General features: G+C 48.4%; 1 non-coding gene and 2 pseudogenes across 2 annotated transcripts in view, besides 4 other annotated features; all 3 read left to right on the top strand.

Moving 5' to 3' along the window:
* Positions 849–1,308: a silencer, noted in NCBI's record as "silent region_8852". NCBI's record gives its function as "represses an Ori minimal core promoter by ATAC-STARR-seq in GM12878 lymphoblastoid cells {active_cell/tissue: GM12878}" and the evidence as "EXISTENCE:reporter gene assay evidence [ECO:0000049][PMID:35858748]".
* The window catches only part of PLEKHM1P1 (pleckstrin homology and RUN domain containing M1 pseudogene 1), a 52,344-nt pseudogene continuing 30,627 nt past the window's right edge, over positions 1,023–22,739 (top strand). The window contains exons 1-4 of the transcript NR_024386.2: positions 1,023–1,151; positions 8,958–9,046; positions 15,814–15,953; positions 16,155–16,440. The product of NR_024386.2 is annotated as a pleckstrin homology and RUN domain containing M1 pseudogene 1 (transcript). The remainder of the gene's footprint in view (positions 1,152–8,957; positions 9,047–15,813; positions 15,954–16,154; positions 16,441–22,739) is intronic.
* Positions 1,399–1,488: a silencer, noted in NCBI's record as "silent region_8851". NCBI's record gives its function as "represses an Ori minimal core promoter by ATAC-STARR-seq in GM12878 lymphoblastoid cells {active_cell/tissue: GM12878}" and the evidence as "EXISTENCE:reporter gene assay evidence [ECO:0000049][PMID:35858748]".
* Positions 12,107–12,607: an enhancer, noted in NCBI's record as "H3K4me1 hESC enhancer chr17:62821718-62822218 (GRCh37/hg19 assembly coordinates)". NCBI's record gives its function as "activates a minimal SCP1, AML or CMV promoter by ChIP-STARR-seq in naive H9 embryonic stem cells {active_cell/tissue: H9 hESC(naive)}" and the evidence as "EXISTENCE:reporter gene assay evidence [ECO:0000049][PMID:30033119]".
* Positions 12,388–12,442, top strand: RNU7-115P (RNA, U7 small nuclear 115 pseudogene; annotated as a pseudogene).
* Positions 15,917–16,417: an enhancer, noted in NCBI's record as "H3K4me1 hESC enhancer chr17:62817908-62818408 (GRCh37/hg19 assembly coordinates)". NCBI's record gives its function as "activates a minimal SCP1, AML or CMV promoter by ChIP-STARR-seq in naive H9 embryonic stem cells {active_cell/tissue: H9 hESC(naive)}" and the evidence as "EXISTENCE:reporter gene assay evidence [ECO:0000049][PMID:30033119]".
* Positions 16,105–16,177, top strand: MIR4315-2 (microRNA 4315-2). The gene has a single exon (NR_036271.1). It is a non-coding gene; the product is annotated as a microRNA 4315-2 (primary transcript).

The following is a 22,739-nucleotide window of genomic DNA, read 5'->3' as shown; positions in this document are numbered from 1 at the left end:
AGGTCAGGAGATCGAGACCATCCTGGCTAACACGGTGAAACCCCATCCTACTAAAAACATAAAAAAATTAGCCGGGCGTGGTGGCGGGCTCCTGTAGTCCCAGCTACTCGGGAGGCTGAGGCAGGAGAATGGCGTCGACCCAGGAGGCGGAGCTTGCAGTGAGCCGAGATCGCGCCATTGCACTCCAGCCTGGGCGACAGAGCCAGACTCCGTCGCAAAAAAAAAAAAAAAAAAAAGAAGAAGAAAAAATTAGCTGGGCGTGGTGGTGCACGCCTGTAGTCCCAGCTGCGTGGAGGCTGAGGTGGGAGAACCGCTTAGTCCGTGAGGTCAAAGCTGTGGTGAGCCGTGATCGTGCCACAGCACTCCAGTCTGGGCGACAGAGTGAGACCCTGTCCCAAAAAAAAAAAAAAAAAAACAGAAAGGAAGAAAGAAATCCTCTACACGGGCTAGAAGAGAATAACCAGACCCCTAAGCTTCAAGCCAGGCGGTGCTAATGGGCGAGTTACACACGGGAGTGTGCCCAAGGGGACCTCAAGGCGTTCCCTTGGGATAAAGTGTGGTCAAAACAGCTGTGTTTATCCTGAAAGCGCAACGCGGAGGCTCCAATTTGGGCCCGGGCTCCGCCCCACGGGCTGCACTGCTGCCCTCGGAGAGGCAAAGATAGGGCAGGCGTTATTAGTCCCACTCACAAGTGGGAACTCTTCAGCTGAGGGAGGCGAAGTGACAGCCCCAATGTTGCACAGATGGTTCTGAGGCCAAACGAGGTCAGGAACCCAGAAGCCAGGATCTAGTTTGACGCAGACCTGCGGGAGGCGGGCGGTAACGGATGCGTTCTCCCTGACACCGGTGCCGTCGCCTCTCTGCGCCCTGCAGGCGCCCCCAGTTCCCCAGCCTCCCAGACCTCGCATCTGCCCCGGGGCTCAGCTCCCAGGGACTTCCGGGAGCAGCTGGCCCCGCCCCAAGGCTCCTTCGGGCTGCGCGATTGGCACCGCGGGCCGGGGGCAGGGCCGGAGCGCCGAGCCAACGTGATGGCGTCAGGGGCCGGGGCGCTGCTTCCTGTTGTCAGTGGCCGAGAGACCGCATCGTCGGCTCGGAGGCTGAGGGGCTGCCGCAGCCGGGAGCCCCCCTCGCCTCGCTCCTCGCTCCGCTTGGTGAGTTAGGGGGTCAAGATGCGAGGAGGGCGGCGGAGTGGTGGGAGGGCCGAGGCGCGAACGGGCGGTGGGCCTCCCGCTCCCTCCGCGATTCCCAGCCCCTGGTTACCCTGAGACTGCCCGGCTTCAGAGCCCTCAGCCCTGTCCAGCCCGCGCCCGCTCCGCTCCGACCCAGCCTTCCCCCTGCACCGCCGCTGTGGCCCCGTCCCCTCCGTCTGTCCAGCCCCCAGCCCGCGCCCGCATCCCCTCACCAGCGGTCTTGCTTAAATGCAGCTTCACTCGTGACCCCATTTTACCCCAGTTCCAACCCCGATCTCGGCCACGTCCCTTCGCCCCGCCCTGACACACCTCATCCTCTCTCCCCACCCCTCTGGTAATCCCGATGCTCCGCGCTCACCTCCCCGAGACCCACCATTCAGGTTTCCCCTTTTCTGGCTCAGCTTTCTTATCCCAGTCACCCCCATCCCCTGTCCAGCTCCCCAAGATCTGCTCATCCTAAACATTCTACCTCCGCCCTCTCATCTAAGACCCACCCCCAAAGTAGGTGCCCTGTTGAGCTCACCGCTTTCTTCTGGATAACTCCGATCTCAGCCTTATTCCAAGTCGTAACTGTGTCTTCTCGTCCTTAGTCTCCTAGCCCACTGTATACCTTCCTTTGCGTCTCCTGCCGTACTGAGGACACCCCATCCCTAAGTCTTTGCCAAACTGTCCCGAACTCTTGCTGCCTCCTTTCCTACCACCCTCACCCAATCTTGTTAAAAATGACATCTCCATGTCCTTTCACCCCCGCTGACCCACCGCAACTCTTCACCCTAACTCTGCGTCCATTCCTTCCCTCGACCCAACTCCCATTCAACCTGAGAACTTAGTGCAGAGTCGCCTGCCAACTCCACCAGCTGCCCCTCAACAGCCAAATGTAGGTGCTCACTCAGACCCGCAGTTACAGACTGAGCAGCATGATTGGCGGGTGCAGGGGCTCAGGTGGTAAATAAGGGTGGAGGAGCAGTGGGCTCTCCCCAACTCTTGGGTGGGGCCGGGGTTTTTCCTGGCATCTGGTCTCCTGTACCTGTCCTCAGGGATTGTGTTTCTGGCATTCATATTAAATGACTTGTGCTGGCTGCTGGAATGGTAGGTATCATTCAAATATCTGGAAGGTGAGAGATGGCCACTCACTCAGCTCACTTAGCACAGAATGATGGAAGCTGTCACTTCCTTCTGGTTGGTGTTCTCGCCCTGGAGAGCTTCTGGGAAGTTCTGTGTGGTGTTGGCTGTGGTCACAGAATATTGTTCATGTTCCTTTTCTTGGCACTTGTAAGGGACTCTCCCTGCCAGAGCTGATGGCAGATCAGTCCTGATGCTGAATTCAGGGGATATGATGGGTGCCAGAGGCAACGTTACCTGTTGTGAAGAGTATAGGTGAGTAGGTCCTGGGGAGGCTGAGGCCTAGGTGGGTACAGAGGCTCTTGAATCGCTTTCTTTTCTTATAAGTGCTGGATCATTGACTTTTGGCCATCTGGGTTCCATGAACACAGGGGACCATGTTATCTCAGAGTAGCTGAGGCAGAAGGACATTCCAGAGGCACCCAAGTCCTATGCTCAGCATTTATGGTTTCCTGGGGGCTTTTTGGTACACATTTTCTCTGAATCCTGAGGACCCGGCATCAGATGGGTGGGCCATTTGATTGCAGCTTTTTTCTTTCTTTCTTTTTTTTTTTTTCGACGGAGTTTACTCTTGTTCCCCAGGCTGGAGTGCAGTGGCATGATCTCGGCTCACCGCAACCTCTGCCTCCCAGGTTCAAGCGATTCTCCTGCCTCAGCCTCCCGAGTAGCTGGGATTACAGGCATACACCACCATGCCCGGCTAGTTTTGTGTTTTTAGTAGAGATGGGGGTTTCTCTGTGTTGATCAGGCTGGTCTCCAACTCCCAACCTCAGGTGACCCACCCACCTCGGCCTCCCAAAGTGCTGGGATTACAGGCGTGAGCTGCCGTGCCCGGCTGATTGCAGTTTTAAAGGGCCCCAAAGAACATTGTCTGTGCTTGCCACTTATAGTCGTATTCCTTTGAAAAGTGAATGCTGTTTACCTTCAATGTCCTCCCATTAATATGCAGTATATTTAAGTTGTTTTCAGCCTTATTGGCAGCTTGGCTTAATGACAGGAGCTCCACAGTTGCCCCAGCACTTAAGAGTTGTATACCCCAACTTCCCACAGTGTGTGAAGTGGAGGTACGTGCCCCGTGCCTTGTTTTTATTTTATTAATCAATTCATTCAACAGCTTATTTTTTGAGCACCAGTCTGTGCCAAACACTGTTCCAGGTACTAGAAATACAATGGTGAATGGGTCAGGCAACGGTCCTGTTTTCATTCATTCAGAGTTTGGTCCTTGTTAGAATCCTCTGGGATATGGGACAAGAATACAGGGAAGCTGGGTGATACTGGATGGAAGGAAGGAGGGAGGAAAGAAAGATAGCTAGTGTTCACTGACTCCACAATTCTGCCCTCATCCACTAGCCCTGAGTTTGGGAATCACAAACTAAAAGTTTCTCACCCTTCATCTGGTATTTAATTGCTTCAAAGCTCCAACCCCCACCACTCCACCCATCACAGAAATCCAGCTTTCCTCAGGTGGACAGAGGTGCGGTTTCCTCAGTCAGCACTCACATGCCTGAAAGATCAGCTGCCTTTCTGAATCAGAGGATAACTTTGTCATTCTTTTCCAATTGAAAAAACATGACTCCATCAATTGGTACAGCAGTTGGATGGCTTAAAGCCAGGCTGTGGCTCTGAACAGCCAGTTACACAATTCGGGCAGTGGAGAGAAGGCCATGGGGAGTGGCTGAGGAGTCCCTCAAGAGAAGAGGTTGCTGTTCAGTCATGGTGGAGTGTTTTGAGAGTGGTGAAACCAGGTTATCCCTTTCTTCTTTTAACGTAAGTCTCATCCAGGTCATTCTCTTTTTTTGCTTCCTTGATCTCTGGAGGAAGTGAAATTGGACATATAGAGAAGGCCAGGCAGTATAATGCAGGAAACCAGCCGGAACTGTTCCTTCCTAACTATGTTGGAACATTTAAGAAAGTATAGCTCTGAGACTTTAGGAGCATTGGTAGGACCTGGTCTCAGCTGGTTGGGGCTATAAACCTGATTGGCAGAACTGTTTCTTGTTGGTTTCAGACCTTCTGTGATGAAATGGAGCTTCCGCGTACCTCTAAAGAAGAAGTAATAGTTTGTCTGAATTTGAGCCAAAGACCTGAGGCCTTTTGGTCCAGGGAAAGATGCAGGAGTTGGGATGAAGAAACCAGAGAGTTCTGTCCCTTACCTGAGACCCATTGCTACTGAGCCTCAGTTTTGTCCTCTGTAAAACAGGGATAATCACTCTCTCACGGGATTGCTGTGAGAATTAAATGAGGTTAGAGAGGGACATCAGAGAAGCTTGCTTTCTGCACTCTGGAGAGCTATGTGAAGGCGAATGAATACATAGGGTGGCAGTAGACTTGGTGTGGTTTGGGGCTTCCTAAATGGCACCAGTCACCTTTCCCCTGCTAAGCTTTCACCCGTCATGTTCAAGAGCCCTTTGGTACTGTTGCCCAGCTTTGCCTCACTCCCTTCAGGTAGGTCTCCTTGAAGCCACACCTCTCTTCACTTTGGTTCTTTGTGTCAATGAAGAGCGTTTTGAGGACAGAAAGTGGAACCAGTTCCATAGGATGGTAGATTCAGAATCTGGGCCACCAGGGTGGGTGACGCAGTGCTGTCCCCACAGTCAAGAGACACAAAGCCTCCTTCTGATTCCTGCCGTGAGTTCTTATGTCACTGACCATCTGAGCCCTGCCTCCCTGAGCATGATGGAACAGATACAGATAGGTGGGGTGCTATGGCTGCCTACAAACAGAGGTGTCCTGCATTGTGGCTGGAACCCCAGAGGCTCAGTCCTATCTTGTGAATTTTCAAGTGGCTCTTCTGCTGGATTTCTCTGAGCTCTTGTCAGTCATTTTGTGGCATTTCTGACTCTGTTTTAGGCCAAGTGACCCTTCTCTTGTCTGGCCCTGTCTCTCTTAGCTTCAGTTTATTATTATTAATTTTTTTTTGTTTTGAGATGGAGTCTCGCTCTGTTGCCCAAGCTGGTGTGCAGTGGCACGATCTTGGCTCACTGCAAGCTCCACCTCCTGGGTCCACGCCATTCTCCCTCAGCCTCCCGAGTAGCTGCAACTACAGGCACCCGCCACCACGCCCGGCTAATTTTTTGTATTTTTAGTAGAGATGGGGTTTCACCGTGTTAGCCACGATGGTCTCGATCTCCTGACCTCGTGATCCACCCGCCTCGGCCTCCCAAAGTGCTGGGATTACAGGCATGAGCCACCGCGCCCAGCCAGCTTCAGTTTATTATTTATTTATTTATTTGAGACATAAATTATTTATTTATTTATTTATTCTTGCTTTGCTGCCCCGGCTGGAGTGCAGTGGCACGATCTCAACTCACTGCAACCTCCGCCTCCTGGGTTCAAGTGGTTCTCCTGCCTCAGCCGGTATGGTAGCTGGTAATACCAGTAGCTGGTATTACAGGCATGGGCCACCATGCCTGGCTAATTTTTGTTTTTTTTTTAATTAGAGACAGGGTTTCACCATGTTGGCCAGGCTGGTCTCAAACTCCTGACCTCAAGTGAACCTCCTGCCTCGGCCTCCCAAAGTGCTGGGATTACAGGTGTGGGCCATGGCACCTGGCCTATTTTGTTTTCTTAGCATACTGTTACTTGGCCAGAGCACTGACTTACCAATGGCCTGCTCCTCCCAGTGAATACTCTGTGAATACTCTATCACTCTCAGCTAATTAGTTAATGAGGTCTTAATGGGCCTGGGCTATAATTCAAATTATTGGGTCTAAGTCCTTAGGGTCCCGGCCCTGTAGCTGGTTAAGGGAAGGGCAACTTTGGGGCTTCGGGCTCTCTCTAGAAGGGTGGGCCTGAGGGCCTCAGGCCACTGGAAATTGTGGATTGGGATTGGAGCCCAGGGTTTCGGAGCCAGAGAAGCTGGACGTGGCCTGCTGAGCTGCAAAAGGGTAGCCTTGATGGAGCCTGACCTCAAGACCAGGCCTGTTTCTGGAAGTGACCCTAGATGCAGAGTCACTGCAGCATACAGCCCCCTTTTCCTGTCACCCCGTGGCCAGAATGTGGAACTGGTCTCCGGAGGAGGGCTCTGAGAATCCCTGGGTAGCTGGGAGCAGACTATGGTGAAGGGTGAGGCAGTCAGATGGGGCTGTAGTCAGGACTGAGGGCTCTTCTGGCCATCTGCAGCACCCGGCCTGTTACTGGGTCTGCAGGAACCATCCTCCATACATGCCTGCTTCCTCCTGAGGGACCTGACTTAGGGAGGTTGGCTCTGGGTCCTGACTCCCTGTGTCCTGTTTGCCCTCTGCTATCCCCAGAAGCCAGAGATCCAATCAGAGCACCTTCCACCATTTAGGGCCAGCCTGCCTGTCTGCTTTCCAAACCTCATGCTGCTCCAGGGCTGTCCAGGAAACCTTTCCTGCCACACTGGCCTTAATGTTCCCCTGCACCCCCTGTTCCCGGCCCCCAGCGAAAGGATCTTCCCAGACCACCCCTGGAATCCTAGCTCTGAGGTGATGGCACTGTTGATGAAAAAGCCAAACTCTGTTAAATATTCGAAGAGGTTTCTTCTGAGCCAAATGTGAGGGCCATGACCTGTGACATAGTCCTGGGAGGTCCTGAGAACATGTCCCCAAGGTGATTGGGGTACAGCTTGATTTTTATCCAAGTTACAGGCAGAAGTTACAGGCAAAGACATAAATTAATATATGTAAGGTATACATTGGTGGGGACAGGGTAAGGTGGATTAAAAGATTTCCTGATTGGCAATTGGCTGAAAAAGTTAAACTTTGCCTAAAGAGTTAAAAGTCAGCAGAAGAAAAGCTTGGGTTTAAGATAAGGTGGGTTGTGAAAGCCAAGGTTCATGTTACGTAGATGAAGCCTTCAAGAGAATAGATGGTAAATGTCTCTAAGGTGTCAGACTCTTAGTTAAATCTCCTCTAAATCAGGAAAAGGCCTAGAAAGGGAAGGGAATCTCTGCAGGACATAGATTTTCCCAACAAGAGATGGCTTTGCAGGGCCATTCCAAACTATGTCAAAAATATACTTGGGGGTAAGATACTTTGATTTCCTTAGGGCTTGTTATCTCCCATGTGATGTTAGACCAGTCAGGTTGGAGTTGGTGTCTTAATTGCTGAGAGTCTGTTCTGTCAGTCTTAGGAGTCTGTTTCAATGTTAATGCTGGTCAGTTGTGTCTAAGCTCCAAAAGGGAGAGGCTAGGATGAGGCATGGCCCACGCCCCACTTCCTGTCATGGCCTGAACTCAGTTTTCAGTTTTTTTGAAATCCCTTTGGCCAAGGGGGGCCCATTCAGGCAGTTGGGGAGCTTAGAATTTTATTTTTGGTTTACAGCACTCACTTAGGAATCGGGTTTTCCTAGGGCTGGGGTTGGCTTCCTCCTGGGGGCTGGTGGTGGAGTCAGGCCGCTTATCAGCCCTGGGACCTCAGGAACTTCCTTGACCTGGGTCAGCTGCCATTTCCTTATCTGTCAGGTGGAGACAATAAAACAGCACTCCTAGGGTCCTTAGGAGGAACATAAATTAGGCAATATATGTAAAGAGAACTGAGCCCATTTAACTTTTCTTGGTTTTGTTAACTTCTTTGTGCGGTGATTGTTTGAGAGCTGAGACAGACAGACATCACCTTTCCCGGCGTTCCCCTGATGCTCAGCCAGGAGTTGGCTAGAGATTTGTTTACGAGTGAATGTGCCTGCCTGGCCCAGGTCTGTCCAAGTTGCTGTGGTGGGGCCAAGCCAGTCAGCAGCCCCCTCAGGCTCAGGCTAAAGTCCCCACCCCACCCACCCCACCCCACCCCACCCCACCCACTCCCAGGAGGAAGCTGGCAGCCCTGAGGGATTTAACCACTCACTGACTTCAACTCTTCCTGCATACTCATTTAGGCGATGACATTCTTGGTCTGTAGGTTTAGGTGGCCACATCCACTGGGATGACAGATGCCAGGTACAACATATCAGGTACAGGCACATATCAGGCCCCGTGACAGGCATTTTACACATTCTCCTTCTGAGAGGTCTGTGCATGTCTCCCTGGTTAGTGGCAAACTGCGATGAGACCTCATGGTCATCCCGGTTAGACACGTCCCTGTCTGTGCTGCTCAAGCCAGACCCTCGAAGCCCAAATGAGGAGCAGAAGTGTAGCAAGGGAGCCCTCCCCTTTTGAAGCCGTTCCAGTGGTACTTTTTACTGCCGAGCTGGCAGATGTTGGACTGGGACAGGAGTGAGGGGTGGGGGCAGGGTGTTGCAGGACCCAGCCCCTGAATGTGATGTGTGAGCCTGTGAGCCCCTGCTTCCTGGTCCCAGTGGGTTCCTGCCACCTTCAGCTGCAGCCTCCCCCTCGAACCTGCAGCTCCGTATCTGAATCAGCCTGTCATTCCCTGCCTACAGGTTTCGATCCTACAGGGCCTTGGCTTTCTGGGCAGCATTTGATGTGAAGCGCCCTTACCACCTACTCCTTGGGGTGGACCCACCCCTGGCACCCAGGACTCCTTGCCTCCCAATGACTGAGCCCCCTGGGCTTTCCTTCCTTGTTTCTTTCCTTCAAATCTATTATCAGTTTTTACTTTTGTGTTCTTCAAAGGCCTTTTTGGTTGCAGTTTGAGTAAGAGAGGCTGACCTCCTGCTGCTTGCTGGGAATGGACTCTGGCTGGGGGGAAGTTCCCTGCCCATTCATCTGGCTGCCATCTGTCTCTTCAGGTGTCATGTGATTCTCTGAGGGAGCAGCTGCGTGAGTGGAGATGCTTTCAGTGGTGGAGAATGGACTGGACCCCCAGGCTGCCATCCCGGTAGGTGGGTGAGGGAGGATCAAGGGCGGGGAAGGGCTGCAGGGGACAGTTGTATCATCGGCTTGGCTCACTTCGAAATGAATGGGCACTGTCCTGCAAGAGAGACCAGGTTGAGAAAAAGTTATAGCACAAGCAGGCTCTGAGGAGACCCTGTCTTTTCTAGATCACCTTATTGGTGATAAGATGGAGATTTATGAAAAGCAGTGGGAATTTAAGATCAGTAACCTGAAGACCAAGGATTTCCATTCAGCCCTTCAGCCCTCTGCCCTTAGGCCATGATTTGGTCACAGTCTGGCCAAAGCACTGAATGGGTGGGAAACAGATATTCCCAGGCACTGGTTTGTTGTTTCAGTAATGGGGGTAAATTGGTAACTTACATGTATCTGAACACTTACCATTTTCTGGGATATTCTAAATGTAATTATTTGTGAGCAGTTCACTGGAGCCCCCTAGGACCTTTTCTTGGACAGCCCTTTGCACCCTCCTGGGCTATCTTGGGTACTCCAGATAGAGCTCTCTGTTCTCTTGGAGAGGTAGGAAGTCAGGTAGCTTTGGGGCTGGTGCCTTAGCAGCATCCTGAGATGGCTTTCGGGGAGAAGCCAGGATTTCCTTTCCTCCCCACTGCTGCTTCCCAGCTCAGAGAACTCTCTGCTTGAAAGAAACTGTAGCTCTCAGAGACGTGCCTTTCCCCGTCCTGGCCACAGGAGAGTCCAGCTCCACCTGTTTCCCAGCTGGCTTTCATGCAGAGGCTCTTCCCTCCCCTCTGCACCCCCACTCTCCCACCCCCAGTGCCTGCCGAATCCCACCCCAGGACCCTCCAGAGCTAGGGCAGAAGCCTGGCCAACCCAGCCTTCTAACAACAGCTGCACAAACTGACTCCATGAGGGTATGCCTTTCTTGAGGGTATGCCTTATTTCTCCCTGTATACCCTAACCCAACACCTAGTAGGTGCTCAATTGAACGAAGTATGTATGTACTTTTTAAATATAATATACAAATAACATCTTGCTTTTAAAAGAACATTTAAAATTAGACTATTTCAAGATTAAAAACTTTTGAGCTTCAAAGGATACTATCAAGAAAATGAAAAGACAACCCACAGAATGGGAGAAAATATTTGCAAATCAAATATCTGATAAGGGTCTAGTATCCAGAATGTATAAAGAACACTTATAACTCAACAATAAAAAGACAAATAATCCAGTTATAAAATGGGTAAAGGATTTGAATAGACCCTTCTCCAAAGAAGATACACACATGGCCAATAAAGATGCTCATTATCATTAGACATCAGGAAAATGCACATCGAAACCACAGTGAGATACTACTTCACACCCCCTAGGATGGCTGTAATAAAAAAGGCAATAACTAGTGCTGGCAAAAATGTGGAGAGATTGGAACTCATATATTGTTGGTGGGAATGTAAAATAGTGCAGCCACTTTGGCACACAGTTTGCCAGTTCCTTGGTAAGTTAAACATAGGGTTATGTGTACAATTCCACTCCTAGATATATACCCAAGAGAACTAGAAATATGAGTCCACTCAAAAACTTGTACATGGATGTTCATAGCAGCATTATTGATAATAGCAAAAGAGTAGAAACAACCCAAATGTCTATTAACTGATGAATGGATGAATAAAATGTGGTATATCTAGGCAGCGGAATATTTTCTGGCAATAAAAAGGGATGAAGTCCTGATACATGCTACAACTTGATGGAAAATATGCTAAGTGAAATAAGTCAGATTCAAAGGGTCGTATGCTGTATTGATATCTATTCATGTGAGATGTACAAAATATGCAAAGCCGCAGAAACAGAAAATAGATTAGTGACTGCATTCACTTCGTATTCCCCTTTCTCCCAGCCACTGGCAATCACTAATATACAGTATTTCTTTTTGGGGTGATGAAAATCGGTTTTTTTGTTTGTTTGTTTGTTTGTTTGTTTGTTTTTTGAGACGGAGTCTCACTCTGCTGCCCAGGCTGGAGTGCAGTGGCACGATCTTGACTCACCACAAACTCCACCTCCCAGGTTCAAGTGATTCTCATGCCTCTGCCTCCCAAGTAGCTGGGATTATGGGTGTGCACCACCATGCCCGGCTAATTTTTGTATTTTTAGTAGAGATGAGGGTTTCACCATCTTGGCCAGGCTGGTCTCGAACTCCTGACCTCAGGTGATCCACTCGTCTTGGCCTCCCGAAGTGCTGGGATTATAGGCGTGAGCCACCGTGCCCGGCCAGAAAATCTTCTAAAATTAGGTAGTGGTGATGGTTGCACAATTGTGTGAATATACTAGAAACAATTGAACTGTATACTTTAAATGGGTGTATTTTATGGTATATGAATTATATCTCATTAAAACCGTTATATTTTTTCAAATTTAACTTTTCAAAGAATGTTAACATTTAGTGTTTTGGCTGAAATCAAAATAAAAGATTAAAATATGTAGCCATAATCCTATCACCCAACAATTCAAACCAGTTTTTCTGTAATCCTTTCCAGTTCTTTTCCAATCACTTATGTGATTTTCACATACTTATAATTATGCTCAATTTTTACTCTATATTTCCAAAAGACTCTGTACATTTTGTGGTGTATTCATTTAACAAACATTTATTGAGTATTTCTATGTGCCAGGCACAGTGCCAAGTGTTGACACAAGGATGAATAAAACACTAGTCTTAGTGCCACACTCAGCTCTTTTATATACATGTTTTTTGTTTTGTTTTGTTTTGTTTTGTTTTTCTGAGATGGAGTCTCATTCTGCCACCCAGGCTGGAATGCAGTGGCATGATTTTGGCTCAGTACAACCTCTGCCTCCCGGGTTTAAGTGATTCTCCTGCCTCAGCCTCCTAAGTAGCTGGGATTACAGGCACTCACCACCACACCTGGCTATTTTTTTTTTTTTTTTTTTTTTTGAGGCGGAGTCTCGCTCTGTCGCCCAGGCTGGAGTGCAGTGGCACGATCTCGGCTCACTGGAAACTCCACCTCCCGGGTTCACGCCATTCTCCTGCCTCAGCCTCCCGAGTAGCTGGGACTACAGGCGCCTGCCACCATGCCCAGCTATTTTTTTGCATTTTTAGTAGAGATGGGGTTTCAGCCTGTTATCCAGGATGGTCTCGATCTTCTGACCTCGTGATCCACCCACCTCGGCCTCCCAAAGTGCTGGGGTTACAGGCGTGAGCCACCGTGCCCGGCCCACACCTGGCTAATTTTTGCGTTTTTAGTAGAGACAGGGTTTCATCATGTTTGCCAGGCTGATCTCAAACTCCTGTCCTCAAGTGATCCGCCTGCCTTGGCCTCCCAAAGTGTTGGGATTACAGGCGTGAGCCACCACACCCAGCCTCTTTTTAGAATTTATCTAGTAGGTTTTCTGGTTTTCACCAGAAACCACTTCCCAAAAAAAAAAAAAAAAAAAAGGTAGTCCTGTCCTCAGGAGAATCCTCATAGTACTATAAATCAGAAAGTATTATTTCCACTTTAACAGATAAGGAAATTGAGGCTCAAAGCGGTTAAGTGGAATGTCTGAGGAGGCCCATCTGGTTACTGACAGCTAGGACTGAGCCTAGTCCTCTGGCTTCCAGGCCTAGGATCTTTCTTTTTTTGAGACAAGGTCTTGCTATGTTGCCCAGGCTGGAGTACAGTGGTGTGATCACAGCTCACTGCAGCCTTGAACTCCTGGACTCAAGCAGTCCTCCTGCCTCTGACCTCCCGAAGTTCTGGGATTACAGGTTTGAGCCACCACGCCCAGCGTAGGATCTTTCTTAAAGTAAACCATGCTCCTGTTCTCCTCATGTTTTTATTGTTCTAAAGCAGTGTGGGTGTTTATTGTTTGTTAGTTTTTGCCTCTTGGCTTATTGATTCTCTACAGAAGCTTGTCCATGTAAAAAAGGTGGGAAGCCCCAACCTTGTCCTAGATGGATTTACCCAAGCTCCCATCACTGCAGCTATGATGGGGCCAATATTTAAACACAAGATTATATGGCTCTAAGTTCACTTAAGTTTGGTCTAAAAAACAAAAAGTATCTACACTAAAGGACATATGAAACAACAATAACAGTAATTATCTCTGGGTAGTGTGTGTGATTTTCCTTTTCTTCTCTATGCTTTATCTTTCTTTGCTGTAGTTAACAATGTGCTAATTTTGCAGAAGGAATCTACAGACACACACATAGGTGTGTGTGCATGTGGTTGCACATATATTTGGCACCAGCTAAAGGATTACACTCTAGGGACTCTCCATAGGATTTTCTGCTAAAGGCCTGTGTTCTGTGTGGTGCTGCCTAGGTCATCAAGAAGAAGCTGGTGGGATCCGTGAAAGCCTTGCAAAAGCAGTACGTGTCCCTGGACATGGTGGTCACTAGTGAAGACGGAGATGCCAACACCATGTGCAGCGCCCTGGAGGCCGTATTTATCCATGGCCTGCACACCAAGCACATCCGAGCTGAGGCCGGAGGAAAAAGGAAGAAAAGTGCCCACCAGAAGCCTCTGCCCCAGCCTGTCTTCTGGCCCCTCCTGAAAGCTGTCACCCCCAAGTGAGATTTAGCTGGAGAGGTTTTGCTTTGCAGAGGAGCAGCAGAGTATGGGACACTTGGCTTTTCCTCCCCGGCTGTTCAGGAAGCCAACAGAGGTGCCCTGTGTTCTAGCATAGAGAGAGGGTGAGGTAGGGGTTGAAAGTGTCTTCTAGAAAGGCTTATCTCTAGACCAAGCTTCCCAGCCAGTGTGCCAGCAGATCTTGAGACCCTCAGCACTCAGGCAAGAGCCTGTGGCTGCTTTGAGACTGGTCACAAAAAACAGGTGAGACTGGCCACCTTTAGCAGGAACAGCCTTTTTTGCCACACTGGGGCAGAATTACATAGTTACAACAGAGGTTGTGTGGCCTGCAAAGCCTGAAGAATTTACTATCTGGCCCTTTACAGACGGGCTGACCCTGCCTTAGATTTGCTGACCCTGCCTTAGATTATTCAAACATCCGAATTGTAAATCTTTTTTTTTTTTTTGGGACGGAGTTTCGCTCTGTCACCCAGGCTGGAGTGCAATGGCGCGATCTCGGTTCACTGGCACCTCTGCCTCCCAGGTTCAAGCAATTCTCCTGCCTCAGCCTCCTGAGTAACTGGGACAACAGGCACGCACCATCACGCCCAGCTAATTTTTGTATTTTTAGTAGAGAAGGGTTTTGCTATGTTGGTCAGGCTGCTCTCAAACTCCTGACCTTGTGATCTGCCTACCTCCGCCTCCCAAAGTGCTGGGATTATAGGCATGAGCCACCGCGCCCAGCCATTAATGTTATCTCTTAAGGAGGTATGGGGTTATTTTTATTAAAGAGTGGAATCAGGAAAAGCATATGAATATTCACCCGGAGACACTTATCTCTTTGGCCCCTAACTGTCTGGGCTTTTGAGCAAGTAGCTGGCACTGTGCCTCTGAGGACTACTAAATGCCATCTTCAGCCCAAAAGAAGCCTTGTCAGTCTCTAATCTTCCTTTCCATGCAGATTGCCACTGCCTTGTCTCACGTTCTTCTTTCCTGGGTGACACTGGCTTTCGATTGTTCCCCCTTATCTCACTCTGTCTTTCCTTGAGTCCATCATCTGGTCAACATTTACTGAGCTGAAGCTCCCTGGAGCTTACTCACTGAGCCTAGTAGAGTGCGGTCGACATTCCCATGGAGGAGATAAACCTGCGCTAGGGACTGTGGTAGCTCAGAGGGGCATGTACATCAGACGGAGGCATTCTGGGACTGAGTTTGGTACACCTGGGGTCTGATCTCCTTATGCAGAACATCTACCCTGCAGTCTGCATGACTGTGGTCAAGTCACTTTTCTAAACAAAAATCTGTAGCCTACAGGCTCCCAGATGCTAGCCTGGAGACTGATTCACTAGGTTGGGGTCCCAGAACTTGTATCCTGCTCAAGTTCCCCAGGGGATTCTGGTGCACAGCTGGGTGTGGGGCCATTACCCCTTGTTGCCTTATTGATTTGATATTTAAGACCCTCTCTTTCCTGGCCTTGCAACCAAACCACCCACTTTTCTGCCACATGCTGTAATTGGAGCGCTCCCCAATCCTCTTACAGGGTTGTTGATTTCCTACCCTTTATGCCTTTTTTCATCAGTTCCTTGTGCCTGAGGGCAGGGACCATGTCTTTACCCTGCATCTTCATTGCTCCAAGGACCTTGCACTTAAGGAGCTCTGACAGCATGCCTTGGATGAGCAGATGTGTCAGGGGCCCCGTGGTAGTTGGAATGAACATGGAAATTATCTTTCACAATTCCAATCTCAAAAAATATATATATAATGTATAAATATATATAATTTATATTTATATATATTTATTATATATAAATATAAATATATATATATATTGCCTAGGCTGGAGTGCAGTGGTCCAATCTCTGCTCACTGTGACCTTTGCTTCCCAGGCTCAAGCTATCCTTCCACCTCAACCTCCCGAGTAGCTGGGTAGCTGGGACTACGTGTGCAAGCCACCACATCTGGCTGTGTTGTTGTTGTAAAGACAGAGTTTCGTCCTGTTGCCCAGGCTGGTCACGAATTCCTGAGCTCAAGTGATCCACCTGCCTTGGCCTCCCAAAGTGCTGGGGTTACAGGTGTGAGCCACCACATCTGGCCTAAAACACTATTACCCAATATTTTTTCATGCCTGTATCTATTTGCAGTAGTTACTCCTGGTTCCTGCTCATCAGTGGATAAAAGCACATCTCTGTGATTTGGGGTAGTTTCTTGAAACACGTCTGTTCTCCCTTCCCAGACACATCATCTCAGAGTTGGAGCACCTGACGTTTGTCAACATGGATGTGGGCCGCTGCCGGGCATGGCTGCGGCTGGCCCTGAACAATGGCCTGATGGAGTGCTACCTGAAGCTGCTGCTGCAGGAGCAGGCCCGCTTGCGTGAGTACTACCAGCCCACCGCCCTGCTCCGGGATGCTGAGGAGGGCGAGTTCCTCCTTAGCTTCCTGCAGGGCCTCATGTCCTTGTCCTTCGAACTCTCCTACAAGTCTGCCATCTTAAATGAGTGGACGCTCACCCCACTGGCCCTGTCTGGGCTTTGCCCGCTTTCTGAGCTGGACCCTCTCTCTACCTCTGGTGCAGAACTACAGCGGAAGGAATCTCTGGATTCCATTTCCCATTCTTCAGGCTCTGAAGACATCGAAGTCCATCACTCGGGCCATAAGATACGGAGGAACCAGAAGCCGACTGCCTCCTCCCTCAGCCTGGACACGGCCAGTTCATCCCAGCTGTCCTGCAGCCTAAACTCTGATAGCTGCTTACTCCAAGAGAATGGCTCCAAGAGTCCAGACCATTGCGAGGAGCCCATGTCCTATGACTCAGACCTGGGCACAGCAAATGCTGAGGACTCAGACCAGTCTCTGCAAGAGTGAGTACCCTGCCCCCACTCCTTCCCATCTTCTCTCTTCACTCCTTTCTTTCCTCTCCTCCTCCCTTTCTTCCCATAGCATGTGATTGTCTGTTACTGAACTCTATTAGTAATTAAAGAAAGCCAAGGGAGTCATCGACTTCTCCAGGGACTGGAGTAGCTGGGAACTGTAGCAGGCAATACAGGCATAGTGGAGAAAGTGGACTTAGAACAGCTTAGAGCTGGTTTGGGCTCCAGCTCTGCCCCGGTGACTTTTAGCAAGTTACTTGGCCGGGTGCAGTGGCTCATGCCTGAAATCCCAGCACTTGGGAGGCTGATACAGGAGGATTGCTTGAGCCCAGCAGTTCGAGGCCAGCCTGGGCAATGTAGCAAGATCCTGCCTCTAAATTAAAAATAAATAAATAAATAAATAAAACAAAAACTGAAAACAAACAATAACAACAAAAAAACAAGATACTTAGTCTCTACAAGGCACAGTGTAAAATATTGTTGTCTTCATCTAGAAGGAAGGAAACTAATAGGTCAGAGTACATTTAAAACTTCCAACAAATAGATGAAACATAACGCATAAGAGTGTGACTTCACAGAATACCTCCCGGGGGACACAGGACCTGAGTGCTGCATGCAGGAGGTGGTGGACAGGTGGGGACAGACAGATGTGTGGAAGAGTATGTGGGGCAGATGAACTAGGCTGAAGAGAGAACTGGGCAGAGCCTTCTTCACACAGCCTTTTAAACATTTTTTTGCAGCTGGGCACAGTGGCTCACGCCTGTAATCCCAGCACCTTGGGAGGCCAAGGCAGGTGGATCACGAGGTCAGGAGATTGAGACCATCCTGACTAACATGGTGAAACCCCGTCTCTACTAAAAATACAAAAAATTAGCTGGGCATGGTGGCGGGCGCCTGTAGTCCCAGCTACATGGGCGGCTGAGGCAGGAGAATGGCGTGAACCTGGGAGGTGGAGCTTGCAGTGAGCTGAGACCGCACCACTGCACTCCAGCCTGGGTGACAGAGTAAGACTCTGTCTCAAAAATAAATAAATAAATAAATAAATAAATAAATAAAATAAAAAATTTGCATAGATAATCTTTTTATGGTTAAAAAAAAATCTAAAACATATACAGTGAAAGCCTTTCCCATTCCTGTTCTCCCTCTACCCTGTTCTTTCCTCCCACCCCTAAAACCATAATAATCAATTTCCTGTATATTCTTCCAAATTTCTAAATGCATCTACAACAAATACCAGTATAAAGATTTTCAGCTGGGCGCAGTGGCTCACGCCTGTAATCCCAGCACTTTGGGAGGCCGAGGCAGGCGGATCACAAAGTCAAGAGATCGAGACCTTTCTGGCTAACACGGTGAAACCTCATCTCTACTAAAAATACAAAAAATTAGCCGGGCGTGGTGGCGGGCGCCTGAAGTCCCAGCTACTCAGGAGGCTGAGGCAGGAGAATGGTGTGGACCCGGGAGGCGGAGCTTGCAGTGAGCTGAGATTGTGCCACTACACTCCAGCCTGGGTGACAGAGTGAGACTCTGTCCCAAAAAAAAAAACAAGATTTTTAAAATGTCTTCCTTATTTATTACTTTCTCTCCTACAAAGGCAGTATATACACACTGTTCTATATCTTGTTTTGGAGAAGATCTTTTCATATCAGAGCTTCTTCATTCTTTTATTTTTATTTTTTATAGAGACGGGGGTCTCACTGTGTTGCCCAGGCTGGTCTTGAACTCCTGGGCTCAAGAGATCTTCCTGCCTCAGGCTCCCAAATTGCTGGGGATTACAGGCGTGAGCCACTGCGCTCAGCCTCATTCTTTTTTTTTCTATTGCATATTGTTCTAGTGTATCAATGTACCTTAGTTTACTTAATCAGCCCAGTATTTAATGGGTGCTGGGGCCTGTGTTTTCATAAATAACCTTGTGTATGTGGTCTTTTAGTTCTGCGTAGCTATCTCTGTTCCATAAACTCCCAGAAGCAAAATTGCCGAGCAAAAGGATAGACTAATATGGAATGTTCACAGATTATTGCCCATTTACACTCCACCAGGAATGTCCTTGTTTCTTAGCCTTGCCAACTGATGGTATTAGTGAACTTTTGGATATTTGCTCATCTGATAGGTGGAAAATGGGAACTTCTTATTAAAAGCCTCCTTCAGCTGGATCCATGTTGCATCAGCGGAAAAGAAGGTCCCACGTGTTTGGGACCTTCTTTCCACTGGCCCTGTGCCCTCGCCTTGGTTCAGGTCCCTCCAGGGTTCTCACCCAGCATGGAAAGAGCACCAGCATTGGGTGGTGTTACAGACTGGGCTTGGAGCAGACCTAGTTTCGAGTCCTGTTCCACCACTTACAAGCCCAGGAAGGTCAGGCACATTGCTTGTTAGTCAAACAATATAGGAGATTGTCTCGTAGGCCCAGAAATGGCTTCTGAGCACATTAGGTGGAGTTTTCAAATGTTAAATGGAGGAATTTAGATAGAATACATTGGGGAGGAACAGTCTCTGCCTCCTGTGACCACTGGGACCATGGCATGACAGGCCTGCAGTGTGTCCCGAGCACAGGGCATGACCTAGGTTTACTCACCTGTCTTAGCCCTTCCTGTGTGTCTGCCTCCTCTGCAGACCAGCCAGCCATCCCCTTGTCATATGTCTCGCCTTTATCTCATGTGTCTTGTGATGGAAAATTCCAGCTTAAGGTCACTGAATCAGTGACCATCCTCTCTGTGCAGGAAGTGTTGTCCCGGCTATTATGGAGAAACTGGAGGGGCAAGGGTCAGGATGTATAGACAAATGCCGGACAGTGGTGTGAGTAACTGGCAAATGTAAGACATACAGATGCACAAACACACAGCCAGCACCAGCATTCGTAGAGCTGGGCCTTGAAGTTAGTCCTTGAGCATCCACAGAGACCAGCATTTCTTGAAGTGTATATTTCAAGGGTAAAATGTTCTCACTGACACTTAGAGTTCATCAAAGTTATTACATTATTTAAATATTTGTAACTTTAAATTAGACATAAATTCCTTGTGCTTATCATTACACATATAAAATCAAAACATCCACAAATCAAACATAAAGAAAAGCATAAAAGACACAACATTCAAAATGAAATTTATTAATATAAATCGGTTCTGTTTGGCAGAAACCAAATTGCAGTTGGCCTAGTGAATTGACTGTCCTAAATAGCTTCTTCTGTGTAGATTGGATCTGTATTATAATCATCACTGAGTGGCATAGGTATAGTCTGGAGGGTTTAAGTACTTAGATTTAAGTACTTAGAATGGTCCCTGGCACAGAGGCATCAATAGTGCTCAATCGATGGTATTGTTGTATTTTATTTTATTCAATATTTTATTTATTTTTTGAAACGGAGTCTCGCTCTGTCCCCAGGCTGGAGTGCAGTGGCATGATCTCGGCTCACTGCAACCTCCGCCTCCTGGGTTCAAGCGATTCTCCTGCCTCAGCCTCCTGAGTAGCTGGGATTATAGGGGCCTGCCACCACACCCAGCTAATTTTTGTACTTGTTGTAGAGAAAGGGTTTCACTATGTTGGCCAGGTGAACTCCTGACCTCAGGTGATCCGCCTGGCTCAGCCTCTCAAAGTGCTGGGATTACAGGCATGAGCCACCACGCCCAGCCTGGGTAGACATGTTTTTAATTCTCTTAGTTACATACCTAGGGGTGGAATTGCTGGGTCATATGTAACTCTATGTTTAACTTCTTGAGGAACTACCAAATTGTTTTCTGCAGTAGTTGCGTCATTTTACATCCCCACCACTAATATATACAAGCTTTAATTTCTCTACATCTTTGCCACCCTTATTATTTTCTGTCTTTTTTATTACAATCAACCCAGTGGGTATAAAGTGGTATTTCATTGTAGTTTTGATTTGCATTTCTCTGATGACTGATGATGTTGAGTGTCTTTTCATGTGCTTATCAAACATTTGGATATCTTCTTTGGAGAAATGTCTGTTCAGATCGTTTGCCCATTTAAACATTTAGTTATTTGTCTTTTTATTGTTCATTTGTAAGTGTTCTGTGTATATTCTGGATAATAGGCCCTTCTGTATAATTTAAAAATATTTCCCCCGATTCTTTGAATTGTCTTTTTACTGTCTTGATAGTATCCTTTAAAACACAAACGTTTTGGCCAGGCACGGTGGCTCACTCCTGTAATCCCATCACTTTGTGAGGCCAAAGCAGGAGGATCACGAGGTCAGGAGATCGAGACCATCCTGGTTAATACGGTGAAACTCCATCTCTACTAAAAAAAAAAAAATACAAAAAATTAGCTGGGCGTTGTGGCGGGCGTCTGTAGTCCTAGCTAATCGGGAGTCTGAGGCAGGAGAATGGCATGAACCCGGGAGGCGGAGCTTGCAGTGAGCCGAGATGGCGCCACTGCACTCCAGCCTGGGCGACAGAGTGAGACTCAGTCTCAAAAAAAAAAAAAAAAAACCACACAAACGTTTTTTATTTTTGTTTTTTGAAACAGAGTTTCACTTTGTTGCCCAGGCTGGAGTGCAGTGGTGTGATCTCGGCTCACTGCAGCCTCCCCTTCCCGGGTTCAAGTGATTCTCCTGCCTTAGCCCCCCAAGTAGTGGGATTACAGGTGCGCACCACCACCACCCCCAACTAATTTTGTATTTTTATTAGAAACAGGGTTTCACTATGTTGGCCAGGCTGATCTCGAACTCCTGGCCTCAGGTGATCCACCCGCCTTGGCCTCCAAAGTGCTGGGATTACAATTTATTTTTTATTGCTTTCTTATGCTGTAGATCTCACATCTAAGAAACCGTTGCCTAATCCAAAGACATGAAGTTTATACCTCTCTTTCCTTCTAAGAGTTTTACAGTTTTAGCTCTTACCTTTAGGTCTTTAATCCACTTTGAGTTAATTTTTGTATACAATGTGAGATAGCAGTCCAGCTTTTTTCTTTTGCATGTGATTATCCACTTATCTCAGCACAATTGTTGAAAAGACTATTCCCTCCCCATTAAAATGTGTTGGTGTCTATGTTGAAAATCAGTTACTTTTTTTTTTTTGAGATGGAGTCTCGCTCTTTCACCCAGGCTGGATTGCAGTGGCACAGTCCCGGCTCACTGCAACCTCCACCTCCCAGGTTTAAGCAATTCTCTGCCTCAGCCTCCCGAGTAGCTGGGATTACAGGCGCCTGCCACCAAGCCTGGCTAATTTTTGTATTTTTAGTAGAGACGGGGTTTTACCATCTTGGCCATGCTAGTCTTGAACTCCTGATCTTGTGGTTCTACTACCCACCTCAGCCTCCCAAAGTGCTGGGATTGCAGATGTAAGCCACCACACCCGGCCAAAATCAGTTACTTATACATGTATGGATTGGCCACCTATTCTTGACGATAATGTCTTGAAATGTTGTTTGGGGTTAAGATGGTGCAGAGCTCACTGGAAAGACAATCAGGTAAGCAACTTGAATTCTAAAATCCTCATTTCCATAAGCCCAAATTAAGCAGAGCTTCATGTATCTTCTGGACCCAGTCCAAGCCATCAGGGCAGATGCAGGGAGGCTTTGGGGCCTTAGACAGCCTGTGGCCACCTGAACCAGGCTTTGCCCATGACATGCTCCACTGGTTTTATAAGCAGAAGAGAGAGCAAACGGGTTTATTTTCAAAATGGAGCTTGGATCCTCAGAAGAAGCCTCAGGAGAGGGAGGAGCAGTTGCTAGTCAGTGCACATTCCAGAGGGCCCAGGGCATGTTTCTGTGCAGTGTGTATGTGTGAGTGTGGTGTACACGCACGTGTACCAAGGCAGTAACATTTGCTCCCTGTGGCCCCAGGAAGCAGCACGGAGGAGACAGGGAGTGGCAGTCCCACCATGGAGACTGAGCAGGGGCACATCTCGTGTGTACTCATATCCACCCTCACACACCTGGTATACATTGAGCTCCAGCAGCAGTTTCTGGGGATGTGAAGCTTCTCTGTCTCCACCTCCAGTCCAGCTCTGAGGGGACCAGCCCTTGCACCTCCCCTTGCTGTCCCAGTGCCTGCACAGGAACAAAGTATGACCTCGCTTAGGAAACCTGCCTAGCCCTCGCTTCTCCTAGTCCCTGCCCCAGGGCACAGAGTCCTGGCATCTCTACTCCCTGTGCTGTGGAGGAGGAGGCTCTGCTGCATACCATGTTTGGGGAAACGATTGCCCACACAACCATGTGTTTGGCTGAGCAAGCTCTCCAGGCCCACAGCTAGCCTGCTCAGAATGCCAGTAAGTCCTCATTCATACCAAGTCCTCTTCCTCTGCTGGGGAGCTTTTTCGCCTGAGATCCCAGGCTCC

This window comes from Homo sapiens, chromosome 17 (assembly GCF_000001405.40).
Source record: "Homo sapiens chromosome 17, GRCh38.p14 Primary Assembly".
NCBI classification, from domain to species: Eukaryota; Metazoa; Chordata; class Mammalia; order Primates; family Hominidae; genus Homo; species Homo sapiens.
The sequence above is the reverse complement of the archived record's forward strand: the minus strand, read 5'-3'. Positions and strand labels throughout refer to the sequence as shown.